Genomic DNA, 14,299 nt, shown 5'->3' on the forward strand with positions numbered 1-14,299 from the left:
CGCCTGAGGTCATACCCAGGCACTGGGTGTTGGCGGGAGCAGTAAAGCGCCATAAAAGCACCACTTGGATGACTATTGCAAAGTAAGCCTTCTTCGCTCGGATTCTATGTTTCATGAGGGTAGGCACTGGATCTTCATCTTTATGTCCTAGGCGGGCTCTTAACAAAAGGCTGTGGACTGAGTAAATGAATGAGTGGGGTTAATTAACTAATTAATTATATTAATAGAACAGGGGGAAAAAACTTAAAACCTAACTCATAGATACATGAACAAATGCAGCAACCTCCAACGCTAGACTGTATGCCATGACCCATAGTGTGTGGCCTGCTGTGTATACTCAAAGCCTACACCCTTTGCTCATTGGAGTGGATGGATGTTGTAGTCATGTTACTTTTCAAAATGAATTGACTTGGATTTTGATCACAACTTCGTGCACAATAGGCCTCCAATGTCAGACATGCACAAGGAGAAGAGAGTGGTGCTCCCCAGTTCTTGCAAAATAACTACCATGTTCTAGGTTAATCTTAAATTGTTATGGGGGGGGAAGCCCTTAAAGCTCTTTTTCTAGAAACAGTTTTTAAATTATTCTTATTTTGCACTGTAAATTTAAAATTTTGCAGGGAATATTTGGTTAGTATAGCAGTGCTTCGAGCATGTATTAATAAATTATACGTTTTGTTAAGCAATGACCTGTGCCCCTATTGTATGCCAGGCGCTGGGCAAATCTTGTCTGCCTAGCTGTCCTCCTTCATTTGCTCAACACATCCCTTCTTTATATATAAATGCAGAGGCAAGCAATTTTGGTCAGAAAGGAAAATTAAGGACATTTTGTTAATATTTTATTTCTTGTGTGCTTTGTCCTGGCCTAAGGTATAAAAATCTCACAGTAGTGCAAAAACAAATCTTTCCCTTATTCCCTTCTCTCCTACTCGATAGCAGAAAAAAACAAATTTTTAGAATAAAATTATAAATGGGACAAAATAAAATTTCTTATCAACCAAGTTCTAGAGAAATGGTTGGACTATTTCCTTTGCATATTAGCAAGTTCAAAGTCAAAATTTCTCGAAAAGGTGCTGTGACTATTTTATAGTTTAGTTGAGTGTTGCTGTTTGAAGTCTCAGAAAACTTGAGGGAGCCCATGAAGGGGGCAGATAAGCACCTTGAGCAGTGAGCAGTATCACCTTAGAATAAATCCCTTTCATTCAGATTTAGTCTAGTCATTTTGCTTTTCATTTGCCCTTCACAGACTCTTGGGATTTCTGAGTTTGAAAAAGAAAACTGAGAACTGGAACAGGGACACGCAGAAAGGAGCAGGTGGGAGGGAGATGGCACTGAATTTCCCTTTATGTCTTTTACATGTTGAACCATGTGTATGTAGTACTAACTCAAATAAATAAATACACATTTAAAAAGTATTTAACAAGTATTCAACACGTTTAAAAAGTATTTAACAATACTTTTTAACAACACAACACTCCCGGGTGTATAGTGTTGAAGTGTGACTCCCACACTTGGGGAAGAATAGGAGAAAGGTAAGAAGAGGGGAACCCAGAGAGGTTAAGAACCTTGCCAAGGACAGTGAAGAGCTAGGACTAGAAATAACGATACAATGAACCCATCTCTGACTTCCTGCTACTCCAAACTACCTCTTGCTTCTATTAAACTAAGGGCAAAGAGAATAAGCCACCCCTCCATGAACATTTTTAGAAGCTACAAATACTCCCTCTCCCTCCATATATTCCTTTGGAATTGAAATAGATCTAATGGTAAGCAAAATGTATACCTGAGGCACAATTTTCTATAAATAGGGTCTTTCCAAAGGAATAATTTTACATTTACTGCCTTTTCAATAATTTGAAACTAATTGTTTCAAATATTTAGAAACTAATTGTTTCTAAATAGCAATAATAATGTATCTGTCGATGCCAAATAACAACTGACCTTCTCATACCACAAACATTTCCAAGCCTTGGCCAGTAGCCCATTTATTTCAAGCAGCCTCTCATAGATCAGAATTTCCCTACAACAGAAGATTTGAGACATTAAAAAAAAAAAAGTGGAGATGGAGTCTCGTTATGTTGCCTAGGCTGGTCTCAAACTCCTGGCCTCAAATGATCCTCCTGCCTCAGCCTCCCAAAATGCTGGGATTACAGGCGTGAACCACTGTGCCTGGCTGAGACATTTTCAAAAAGAAAATTGTAACAGGATATTACCAGTATCTTGTTTATTTTTTCACAAAGCTTTACAATTATGATCTCTGTCCTTTGTGGGACGGCATGGGAAAAGTGGGTGATCCTGAAACCCCAGGGAGGGGCAATACCCCCATTTCCAGAATACATTTCTATGTTTGCCTCATTTGATTCTCACCATGATGATACCAGGAAGGGAAAAAAGAGTTCAGGCATTCAAAAGCTAGTAAGATGTGATTGTCAATCTCTGTTCTGCTAGTACCAGCTTTGAGACCTTGGATAAGTTAGCTCAACTCTCAGCCTGTTTCTCACCTGTAAAGTCGGAATACTGGTACCTACCACGCAAGACTGTGGAGCAACCTTTTTTTTTTTTTTTTTTTTGAGATGAAGTATTGCTCTTTTGCTCAGGTTGGAGTGCAGTGGCGTGATCTCTGCTCACTGCAACCTCCACCTACCGGGTTCAAGCGATTCTCCTGCCTCAGCCTGCCGAGTAGCTGGGATTACAGGCATGCACCACCACGCCCAGCTAATTTTTGTATTTTTAGTAGAGACGGGGTTTTACCATGTTGGCTAGGCTGGTATTGAACTCTTGACCTCGTGATCCACTTGCCTCAGCCTCCCAAAGTGCTGGGATTACAGGCATGAGCCACAATGCCCAGCTGGAACAATCTTTTAATTTGCACTCTTTACCTGTTCATTTGGGCAGCAAGAATGGGAGAATGCTCCAAATGAGGGTTTCTGAGTTTTAAATATAAACGTATAAGAAATTATGCTATATTATTTGTATATTATAAATAATAATATAAATAAGACTATATTACAAATTATGCTACATATATCTGATAAGAAAAGAATAAAACTCTGTAAAACAACTTTCAAGTATTCTTGCTCTATTATTTAACAAAAATTATAATCGTATTACAGATACAACTGAGTAGTCTGCTTTTCTTCCCGAATATTATAATTATTTTTCTTTTTTCTATTCTCTTTATTTTCCTGTTTTCTTAAATGGAATATAAACTTTTTATAGTAAAAATTATTTAAATAAAAATCATGACAATCATCTTCCTTGCTTTTTATATACAATCTTTCATTTTCAATTGCTATAAAAAAGTTCTATCAGCTAGTTTACTATAATTTACTCAATCACTCTCATCTTACTATTTAGCTTGTTTCGAGTTTTTACTATTTTAAGTAATACAATGAAAAGATTTTTGAATATAGCTTTCCCTACATTTGGAATTATTTCCTTAGGATATATTTTTAGGGGTGAAATTTCTAGATCCAACAATGATTATTTGTACGGTCCTTGATACATACCAGAACAAGTTTTATGGATGGCGCTTATGTAATGCATAAGCCAAAAGAATTCATACCACTTAACAGTTAAAAGACTACAAAAATAAACTAAGGAAAAGTTTGACTTGGATTAAAGACCAGATATAGAACTGGTCTTTATTTTATGTACAGGAAGTACTTGTTAGAACCACACCCTGTCATATTGCCATGGTTTTATCCTCATGTATACTAACAAACTATTTAATTTTTGTCTTTGGATTAGGTGTCATGATAGGTGTAGTCAAACTGAAATAAGAATTACATATATTTTAATTGTATTAATTCAAAGAAAATAAATGCAAACTGATAACTGTGTGATGCCTTAACTTGAATGACAGGTAATATAATTATCCCCTTCTAATCTTATAAGAAGCAGGCTATCAAAATAGAATTCCACTGACACCATAAGTCAGAATACGATTTAATGGTACCATCATTTGTGGGAAGTGGGTAATGTTTTTTGTACCAGCTCATGCAAAAATTGGGAAATTAAGTAAAGGAGAAACATGGAGATAAGTTAATAGAAGACTTAAGGTATAAGAACCAACTTTGTATTAATATTTTTTACTTTTCAAACATGAAGAAAAACATTTGCTTTTAATAAACATTTTGGGACTGATATATTTAAATCTCATTACATTTAAAAATATTATCTATTACTATAAAGTTTAAATTAGGCTTTTACATAAAGGATTTCAAACATCTGAAGAGGGAGGAGACTGTCAGCTTTGGTGTTCAGAGTTCAAATAAGAAAATTGTTAATCTCACCACATACGTATTTTTACATTGTTCCTAAGAATAGATTGAACGAAGTGTCATCTTACTGTGAGCTATGTGATATGACTCCTCATAGAAACACAGCCAGTGTGAACTTTTATAGGAAAAAAAAGGAGTATAGTTTGCTTTGTGAATGGAAAATCAAACGAGAGAAAATGCAAAAATTATCTTTCTTTTGAGTTTTTCACCATTTCCTCCAGTATGTTTGGTGATTAGTTCACCCTACCCCAGATGAAACACTTCACTTTAAAATAGTACAGCCTATATATTGTAAATTTTAAAAATTACTCACAAAACACAACTCCCTTAAAGGAAATATATGACCCCATATCTGGAGGTAAGGTGGGAGTTGAGGCTTCTGAAAATCTCTGGCCGCTGCTGTCTGCATGAGGCGGGGCTTGGAGGATCATCCCACATGAACAACCTCAGGCTCGCCCAAAGAGACAGACAGAAGGACAGCATGAACTGATGATAGGTAGATGCAGCCCACTGGATGTTCCACCTCAGCTGCTATCCTGGGCTTCATAGAAGAGAAAGAAATGCTGGGAGTTCTCCAAGGCAGGCATTCTGGTCATTTCTGTTTTATGGATAAGGACACCAGTGGTCCATACGTGGGAAAGGAAGGGAAAAAAAAAAGGGGGAGACACCAGTGGTTTAAGAAGCCCAGGTTCTGATAACTAGCAGCTTTCTTATTCCAACCAAATCTGTTGATTCCAAATATTGTTTCTTTCCACCAAATCACATTACTTGTTTCACATCCAGCATAGGGTAGAAAAGCCTGGAGCCAAAAGTCACGTGCCTGTCACAGACTTGAGAGGTAGTAAGGATGGGATGGTGGAGGAGAGACACATTCCCTCCTCTCCTGCTGCAAGGCCCAACCCATCACTCCCAACAGTGTGGACTTGGCAGGCATGCTGCTCATCCAAAGGTCAGAAAATAATAGTATTTAAGTTGCTGAAAGCAGCATAGTTATGTTAATTCAATAGAACATTTGTAAAGTAGACAAAATAAAAAGTAAAAATACAGCTCCATATCTCACTACCTTAGTTCAACCTCTAGTAATATTTCAGAGTGTTTTCCCCCCAGTCTTAAAAAAAGAGTCTACTATGATGATATTGTATAATTGTCCATTTAGATGATGTGCTGTGATCTTATTTATTATGTTACTGGACAGTTGGATTATTTCCCTTTTTCCCTACTATAAATGATGCTGTGATTTTTTTTTTAATTGTACCTGGGTTTTTCTATATGTAGGATTCTTTCTTTAGGATTCATAACCAGAAGTGATTCCCCTCCTGGATCAAAGGTTAGGAACCTCCTTTTTGTTGTGTTTTGTTTTTTATGTGTTTGTATGTTTGTTTTGTAGAGGTAGGCCCACTATGTTGCCCAAGCTGGTCTTGAACTCCTGGCCTCAAGGTGATCCTCCTGCCTTGGACTCCCAAACTGCTGGGATTACAGGTGTGAGCATCCATGCCCAGCTAAAGGCTAGGAACATTTTCAAGTCTATGGACACATATTGAGAAATTATTTTCCTGAATGATTGTAATAATTACACCCCTGCCAAGAAAAATTATAAATACCACAGTAGCTAAGAGGCAGAAGAGTGTAGCAATTAAGAGCATGGACTCTAAGCCAGATTTCTAATGTCTGGAAATTCTGGCTCTGCCTTCTTCTATCCTTAAACAAGTTCCTTAACCTCTCTGTACTTCAGTTTCTTCATCTGCAAACATGGTTACAATAACAACACCTACTTCATAGATTCTGGAACAGATTCAATGAGTTAATACATGTAAAGCATAGAGTAGGCATTTACTAAGTGTTAGTTATTGTCACTATTACAACAGGCACTATTGGCGGCCCTTTTTATGTACATTATCTCTAACCATCCCAATGAACAGGCTGTGGGAATAGACTCAGAGAGGCTTGCCTTCCCCAGATCACATAGCCAGAGAAGGACAGAGTCCTGATTCCAACGCAGGCCAGCCTGACTCCTGACCCTGGACTGCTGCAGGAGGTAGGCCTCAAGGCCTCCCATTGTAGGGGCAGTAGGTTTGTGCACTGCAGGCAGCCCCTGAGACTTGCCAGGAAGCATTTTTATGTGGATTTCTTTTTTTTTTTATTTTTTATTTTTTGAGACAGAGTCTCGCTCTGTCACCTAGGCTGGAGTGCAGTGGTGCGATCTTGGCTCACTGCAACCTCCGCCTCCTGGGTTCCAGCGATTGTCATGCCTTAGCCTCCTGAGTAGCTAGGATTACAGGCGCCTGCCACCACGTCCAGCTAATTTTTGTATTTTTAGTAGAGAGGGGGTTTCACCATGTTAGCCAGGCTGGTCTCGAACTCCTGACCTCAGGTGATCCATCCACCTCGGCCTCCCAAAGTGCTGGCATTACAGGCGTGAGCCACCATGACCGGCCATTTTTATATGGATTTCTGATATCCCAATTAGACCTGAGAGACTCAGGCTCCCTTCCTGAGCTCCTGGACCTTATCTCCCACAGGAGGCTTTCCAAGGATCACTTCCAACTGTCATGGTCTGTGTCCCCATAAAGCCAAGCAGTTCATCTGAGCTGAGGCTGGTAGAGAAGTGCTAGGGGATCATTGCCTCTTCCTAAAATATTCTCAACTGTTCTTACTGTCTGGCAAGGAGCAATTTATCAGTAGGGACTGTCATGAGTTTTCATTTGAGCTTTAATTAAAACACATGAAGGGCCAGGCGCAGTGGCTCAAGCCTATAATCCCAGCACTTTGGGAGGCCAAGGTGGGTGGATCACCTGAGGTCAGGAGTTTGAGACCAGCCTGGCCAACATGGTGAAACCCTGTATCTACTAAAAATACAAAAAGTAGCCAGGTGTGGTGGTGCACACCTGTAGTCCCAGCTACTTGGCAGGCTGAGGCAGGAGAATCGCTTGAAACTGGGAGGTGGAGGTTGCAGTGAGCTAAGATCGTGCCACTGCACTCCAGCCTGGATGACAGAGCGAGACTCCATCTGAAAAAAACAAAACAAAACAAAAAACACAAAAAACAAACAAACAAAAAACCCACATGAACATACACGCCACCTACACACACACACGTACACATACCCCCCACCCCTCATCAGCTGGAGAATGAACAGAGCTTCTGTACAAATCAGAGATTTGCTCATGTACCTCACAGTCACTTTGTTCGATAGTGGAAGAAATAATGGGGTGGTGGAGACAAGGAAACACCAGGCATAAACTCTGCTCAGGATGCTGACCCAGGGGTGACCAGTGTGGAGGTTGGTTTAAAAGCAGTCACTGAGGCCTGAGGAATGGAAAGTCCCAGTGCTGGCACATGTCCTAAAGGAGGACAGAGTTTGTGGACTCAGTTGTACAGTTCAAGTCAACAAATATTTACTGAACAATCTTTGTCATACGCCATGCCAGATGTGAGGTACATAGATTGGATATGGGGTCTCTGCTCTCCTTCAACTCACTCAGAAGTGAATGTAGCAAGGAAGGTGAATAAAGGAGCAAATAAATAAAGAATGTTTCCCTCCTATCCCAGGCCTCTGAGATGGCTGTCTGGCCTGGGATACAAGACTTTTCTTTTGACCAGTCAGCACTTTGCACAGTTGCCACTATAGTTCTGAAACCCACCTGATATGAGGCTGGGGTTAGGATTTTGCAGCATCAAAATATTCTACCGGCTGCAGAATAACGAGATCTACTTTTTGCACAAAGATATTTTTGCCTCTGGTTTGAGAAGCATTTAGCAGTTTGGATTGTAGAAAGCATTTGGCATATTCCACAATGCTTCTCTAACCCAAACTACTCATTGTTTTTGCTGGGATTCTTTGAGGAGGAAGTTGGAGGGCAGGTGGAAATGTTTTCCTTCTTTCCTTCCTTCCTTCCTTCCTTCCTTGCCTTCCTCCCTCCTTTCCTCCCTCCCTCCCTTCCTCTTACCCTCTCTTCCCTCCCTCCTTTCCCCACTTCTCTCCTTAATCACAAAATTGAGATAACTATGACTATTAACTGTTCTTGGTACCAGGAAGAACAGACATATTTCCCACTGCGATCCTAAAAAGTAGTTATTGTGATAGAAATTAATAGTGTTCTTACACAATCTTAAAATAAATGCAACAAATGTTATTTCCCATAACACTCAATATACATTGTTGACATCACACAAAAGTGCAATTTGATAAAAACTATACTTTGGGAAACTATGACACTGTCTAGCAAGGTACCAGCTGTCTACTGATCTGGTTTAATCCATGGATGTGTTTGAGACTAGACTGTCTGAAATAATCCTTATATGCTTCAAATAATCCTCTCTGAAAATTGCTTCTCCTTACTGAGTTTTTAATAAATATTTGATGACAGGATGAGATTATACTCTCAGCGAAATCCTGGAATTCTATTCTGTGTTGTTTAAAATTCAGATCCATATGCCTTAATAGACAATTCAAACGTAGGTTTGACCTGTTGTGAAAGCTGAGGTACCTAAGAACAGCTGGTTGTATCAAAGGCTTTCTCACCCACAAGGGAAAACCAAAGTCAGGTGTAAGCTTTACCCCAGGAAATTGTTTTGAGTCTGCATAGCACACAAATGAGACCCTACAAGGTCACATCCATAGAACAGGACCAAAATAGTATTTCCCCAAATTTGCAAATAGAGAAAAGTTTAAAGAATGGGTACAATGAACTTCCAAATAATCCAACTAGATTTGACATCAACATAATTTTAACATTAAACAAAATTTAAAACATTAACACCAATAGAAAAAAATCTTAATTTAATCAAGAGTTATTAGTATGAGTAGGGCTACTTCCTGTCACGCCCTCCAGGATTATTTGTGATGTACAGGAAGGTAATTAAACAAAGTGACTTTTATAACATTGTTATTTCTAAATCAATTAAAAGATGAAAAATACCTACCAGATACCTACCAAATGTAAATTTGCAAATATAATATATATTTTATTTTGTAAATATCAAATCTTTCTGACAGTGATTAGCCAAAAGGGTTTTATCAGGAGATCTGAGTTTCAGATAATAAGAATTATCTTATCTGCATATAGAATAGTGCATGCCTTTCTGTTTTCTACACTAGAAAGGAGTTGTGTTGCTCATCTAGGAAAACTTTTCTATTGTTCAGGTTCGTTCTTTTTTTCTTTCTTTTGAGACAGAGTCTTGCTCTGTCATCCAGGCTGGATTGCAGTGGCATGATCTCAGCTCACTGCAATGTCTGCCTCCTGGGTTCTAGCAATTCTCTTGCCTTAGCCTCCCGAGTAGCTGGGATTACAGGCGTACGCCATCACACCTGATTAATTTTTTTTTTTTTTTTTTGAGACGGGGTTTCGCTCTTGTCGCCCAGGCTGGAGTGCCATGGTACAAACTCAGCTCACTGCAACCTTCACCTCCAAGGTTCAAGCAATTCTTGTGCCTCAGCCTCCTGAGCAGCTGGGACTACAGGCACCTGCCACCATGACCAGCTAATTTTTTTGTATTTTTAGTAGAGATGGGGTTTCACCATGTTGGCCAGGCAGGTCTTGAACTCCTGACCTCAAGTGATCCACGTGGCTTGGCCTCCCAAAGTGCTGGGATTACAGGCATAAGCCACCATACCCGGCCATGTTCCTTGGTTCTCCACATAGTCAAAGGTATTATGTAGAGAGTCACTACACTGCTTGCCTCTCATGAGCGGTGAATCAGGAGTGTCAAATGCATTTATTTTGCATAACTCTAAACAGTTCACGTCAAGGACTATCAGTGTTCTCCATACTATTAGAATTACAGCCCTTAGCATTTTGGGGTCTTATCATATTAAGCAGCCAACCCCAGAAACCCAAAACCAACAAAAGAACTCCATCCTTAATATTCTGTTCCTCTAGAACCACTCCTGGTACCAAAATCTGTATTAGTCATGGGTCTCTAGAGGGACAGAACTAATAGGATACACACACACACACACACACACAGACACACACATGCACACACATGTATATATATAAAGGGAAATTTATTAAGTAGTGTTAACTCACATGATTACAAGGTCCCACAATAGGTTGTCTACAAGCTGAGGAGCAATGAAGACAGTCTGAGTCCCAAAGCTAAGAGCTTGGAGTCCGATGTTCAAGAGCAGGAAGCATCCAGCACGGGAGAAAGATGTAGGATGGGAGGTTAAGCCAGTCTAATTTTTTCACATTTTTCTACCTGCTTTATATGCTGGCAATTGATTAGATGGTGCCCACAGATTAAGGGTGGGTCTGCCATTCCCAGCCCACTGACTCAAACGTTAATCTCCATTGGCAACACCCTCACAGAGACACTCAGGATCAATACTTTGCATCCTTCAATCAAGTTGACACTCAGTATTAACCACCACAATACCCAAGTCAAGATCTAGAATATGTCCAGCACCTCAAGTGCTTTACTGAATTTGCATTTTAAATCAGTTGCTTAAAGTGGGAGACCATTACTGAGCTCTGGTTAAAGACTGGCTTGGTGGCTCCAAAAATCTGGGCTATTGACTATGGTTTGTAGAGTTAGGTAGAGTGGGCTTCCTATGAGCCAAGTTACATCTGGGATGCCAATCCTTCATCTTTCCTTGGAGATTGTTCACATTGCCAAATCCTCAGGTCCTCCCACAAGTTCACAGCAAAGGATGTTTTATTGTTTATTGCTTATTTGCATGAAAAATATTGAACATCTTTTTTTTAAATTTTATTTTACTTTAAGTTCTGGGATACGTGTGTTGAACATGCAGGTTTGTTACGTAGGTATACATGTGCCATGGTGGTTTGCTGCACCTATCAACCCCATCATCTAGGTTTTCAAACATATTTTTAAAAATCAAACTCTACCTAAGAGAATAGAAAAATATACCCAAAGTATCTATCACTCAGCTTCAGCAGTAAATCCATGGCTAATCATGTTTCATTTTTGTCCCCTGCACTGCTTCCCTCCTCCACTAGTCTACTTTGAAGTAAATTCCAATATCATTTCATTTCTTCCTGAAAATATTTCAGAATGTCTCTACAAAGAATAAGGAGTCTAATTAAACTAAAGAGCTTCTGCACAGCAAAAGAAACTATCACCAGAGTGAACAGACAACCTACAGAATGGGAGAAAATTTTTGCAATCTATCCATCTGACAAAGATCTAATATCCAGAATCTATAAGGAACTTAAACAAATTTACAAGAAAAGAGCAAACAACTCCATTAAAAAGTGGGCAAATTACATAGGCACTTCTTGAAAGAATACATACATGTGGCCAACAAACATGAAAAAAGTTCATCATCACTGATCATTAGAGAAATACAAATCAAAACCAAAATGAAATACCATTTCATGCCAGTCAGAATGGTGATTATTAAAAAGTCAAGAAACAACAGATGCTGGAGAGGCTGTGGAGAAATAGGAAAGCTTTTACACTGTTGGTGGGAATGTAAATTAGTTCAACCATTGTGGAAGACGGTGTGGTGATTCCTCAAAGACTAGACCCAGAAATACCATTTGACCCAGCAATCCTATTACTGGGTATATACCCAAAGGAATATAAATCATTCTATTATAAAGATACATGCACAAGTATGTTCACTGAAGCACTATTCATAATAGCAAAGACATGGAATCAACCCAAATGTCCATCAATGATAGACTGGATAAAGAAAATGTGGTATATATACGCTATGGAATACTGTGCAGCCATAAAAAGGAATGAGATCATGTCCTTTGCAGGGACATGGATGGAGCTGGAAGCCATTATCCTCAGCAAACTGACACAGGAACAGAAAACCAAACACCACGTGTTCTCACTTGCAAGTGAGAGCTGAACAATGAGAACACAGGGAGGGGAACAACACACACTGGAGCCTGTCGGTGGGAGTGGGGGTAGGGAGAGCATCAGGATAAACAGCTAATGCATGTGACGCTTGATACCTAGGTGATGGGTTGGTTGGTGCAGCAGACCATCATGGCACACGTTTACCTATGTAACAAGCCTGTATGTCATGCACATGTATACTGGAACTTAAAATAAAATTAAATTAAAAGAAAAAAGAATAAGGAGCCAGGTGCAGTAGCTCATGCCTGTAATCCCAGCACTTTGGAAGGCCAAGGTAGGTGGATTACTTGGGCCCAGGAGTTTGAGACCAGCCTGACAATATAGTAAGGCCCCATCTTTACAAAAAGTAAAAAAAATTAGCCAGGTGTAGTGTTGCACACCTGTAGTCCCAGCTACTTGGAGGCTGAGGTGGGAGGATCAGTTGAGCCCAGGAAGTTGAGGTTGCCATGCCACTGCATTCCAGCCTGGGTGACAGAGTGAGACCCTGTCTCAAAAAAAAAAAAAAAAAAAAAAAGAATAAAAAAAGAATAAGAACTGTTCCTAGCAATGGCTTTTGAGCCAAAGGAAAATTATAGAAAATCTTTAATTTTATATGGGTCGAATAGCCATTCCAGATTTTGGTTTTATTCATTCATCAATTTAAATTGGTAAATAAAGATGGTATATATTTATGATGTACAACATGATATTTTGAAATATATATACATTGTGGAAAGGCTAAATCAAGCCAATCAACATGTGCATTATCTCACATACTTACTATTTTGTAGTGAGAAAATTTAATATCTATTTTCTTAGCAATTTTCAAATACAGAATATGTTATTAACTATAGTTAATACTTAGTAGACAATAATTAATTGTCACCATGTTGTACAACATATCTTTTTAGCTTATTCCTCCTGTTTATTGAAATTTTGTATCCTTTGACCAACATCCCATCCCACCCAACCCCATCCCAAGAGTGGTTACCACTCCTGGTAACCACCATTCTACTCTCTGCTCTTATGAGTTCAGCTTTTATATATTCCACATATAAGTGAGATTGTGTGGTATTTGTCTTTCTATACCTGACTTATTTCACTTATGATTTTTTGTCATTAATCCTACTAAGTTTTCTTGGCTACCCAGCAGTCCTTGACAAATCATTTAACTAGGAAGATGATACCCTCATTTGCAGTGAAAACTGGCAATGAGTTTTCTATATCCAAAGCAGTTTATTTAAAATTCAGCTAATGATAAATTACCAGGTATCTGAACGCTCTCAGCCATTTCACTCTTCTCAGTGCCCTGACCACTCTAATCTCCAGGTATGCTGGCCCTGGGAGAGGGATGCTCTTAGTTAAACCAGAGAAAGGATAACTCTGTGTAATTCATAATAACCATTCTAAGGATGGTAGGAAGCATAGTAGCAATAACATATGCTATAACTACAATCTATGAAGCTATCCCTATGATTAGAGAGAAAAATAGGAAAATTTCCCCAATTATATTCAATATCACAAACTTCCATGTGTAATAAATAAAAGTTTTCAGCCTAAACATTGGTGGAAAAACTAGTAGAATCGAATAAAGTCTGTAGTTTATACTATTGTGCAATTCTTAATTTCTTAGTTTTAACAAATGTACCATGATTATATTAGATATTAGAGGAAGCTGAGAGAAGGGTATATGGAAACTCTCTACTATCTTTGCAACTTTTCTGTAAATCTAAAACTATTCCAACACAAAAAATTTATTTTAAAAAGCACTTGATTCCTACCTCTCACCATATACAAAATGATTCATCAACCTAAATGTAAGAGCTAAAACTATAAAAGTCCTAGAGGAAACATAGGAGTGAATCTTTGTGACCGTGAATTAGGCAATGGTTTCTTAGATATGACACCAAAAGCACAAGCAACCAAAGGAAAAATAGATAAAATAGACTTCATCAAATTAAAGTTTTGTGTTTCAAAGCACACCATTAGGAAAGTAAAAAGACACCTCATGGAATAGTAGAAAATATTTGCAAAATTTGCAAATAATATATCTAATAAAGAATTTGTATGCAGAATATATAAATAACTCTTACAATTAAGCAATAAAAAGCAAATAACCCAATTTTTTAAATGGGCAAAGGATTTAAGTAGACATTTTCCAAAGAATATATATGAAGGGTCAATAAGTACATGAAAAGATG

The 14,299-nt window shown here is 38.6% G+C and overlaps 1 annotated feature.

Moving 5' to 3' along the window:
• Positions 32–81: an enhancer, noted in NCBI's record as "active region_1316". NCBI's record gives its function as "activates an Ori minimal core promoter by ATAC-STARR-seq in GM12878 lymphoblastoid cells {active_cell/tissue: GM12878}" and the evidence as "EXISTENCE:reporter gene assay evidence [ECO:0000049][PMID:35858748]".

The sequence above is a fragment of the Homo sapiens genome, chromosome 1 (genome assembly GCF_000001405.40).
Source record: "Homo sapiens chromosome 1, GRCh38.p14 Primary Assembly".
Taxonomy (NCBI): Eukaryota; Metazoa; Chordata; class Mammalia; order Primates; family Hominidae; genus Homo; species Homo sapiens.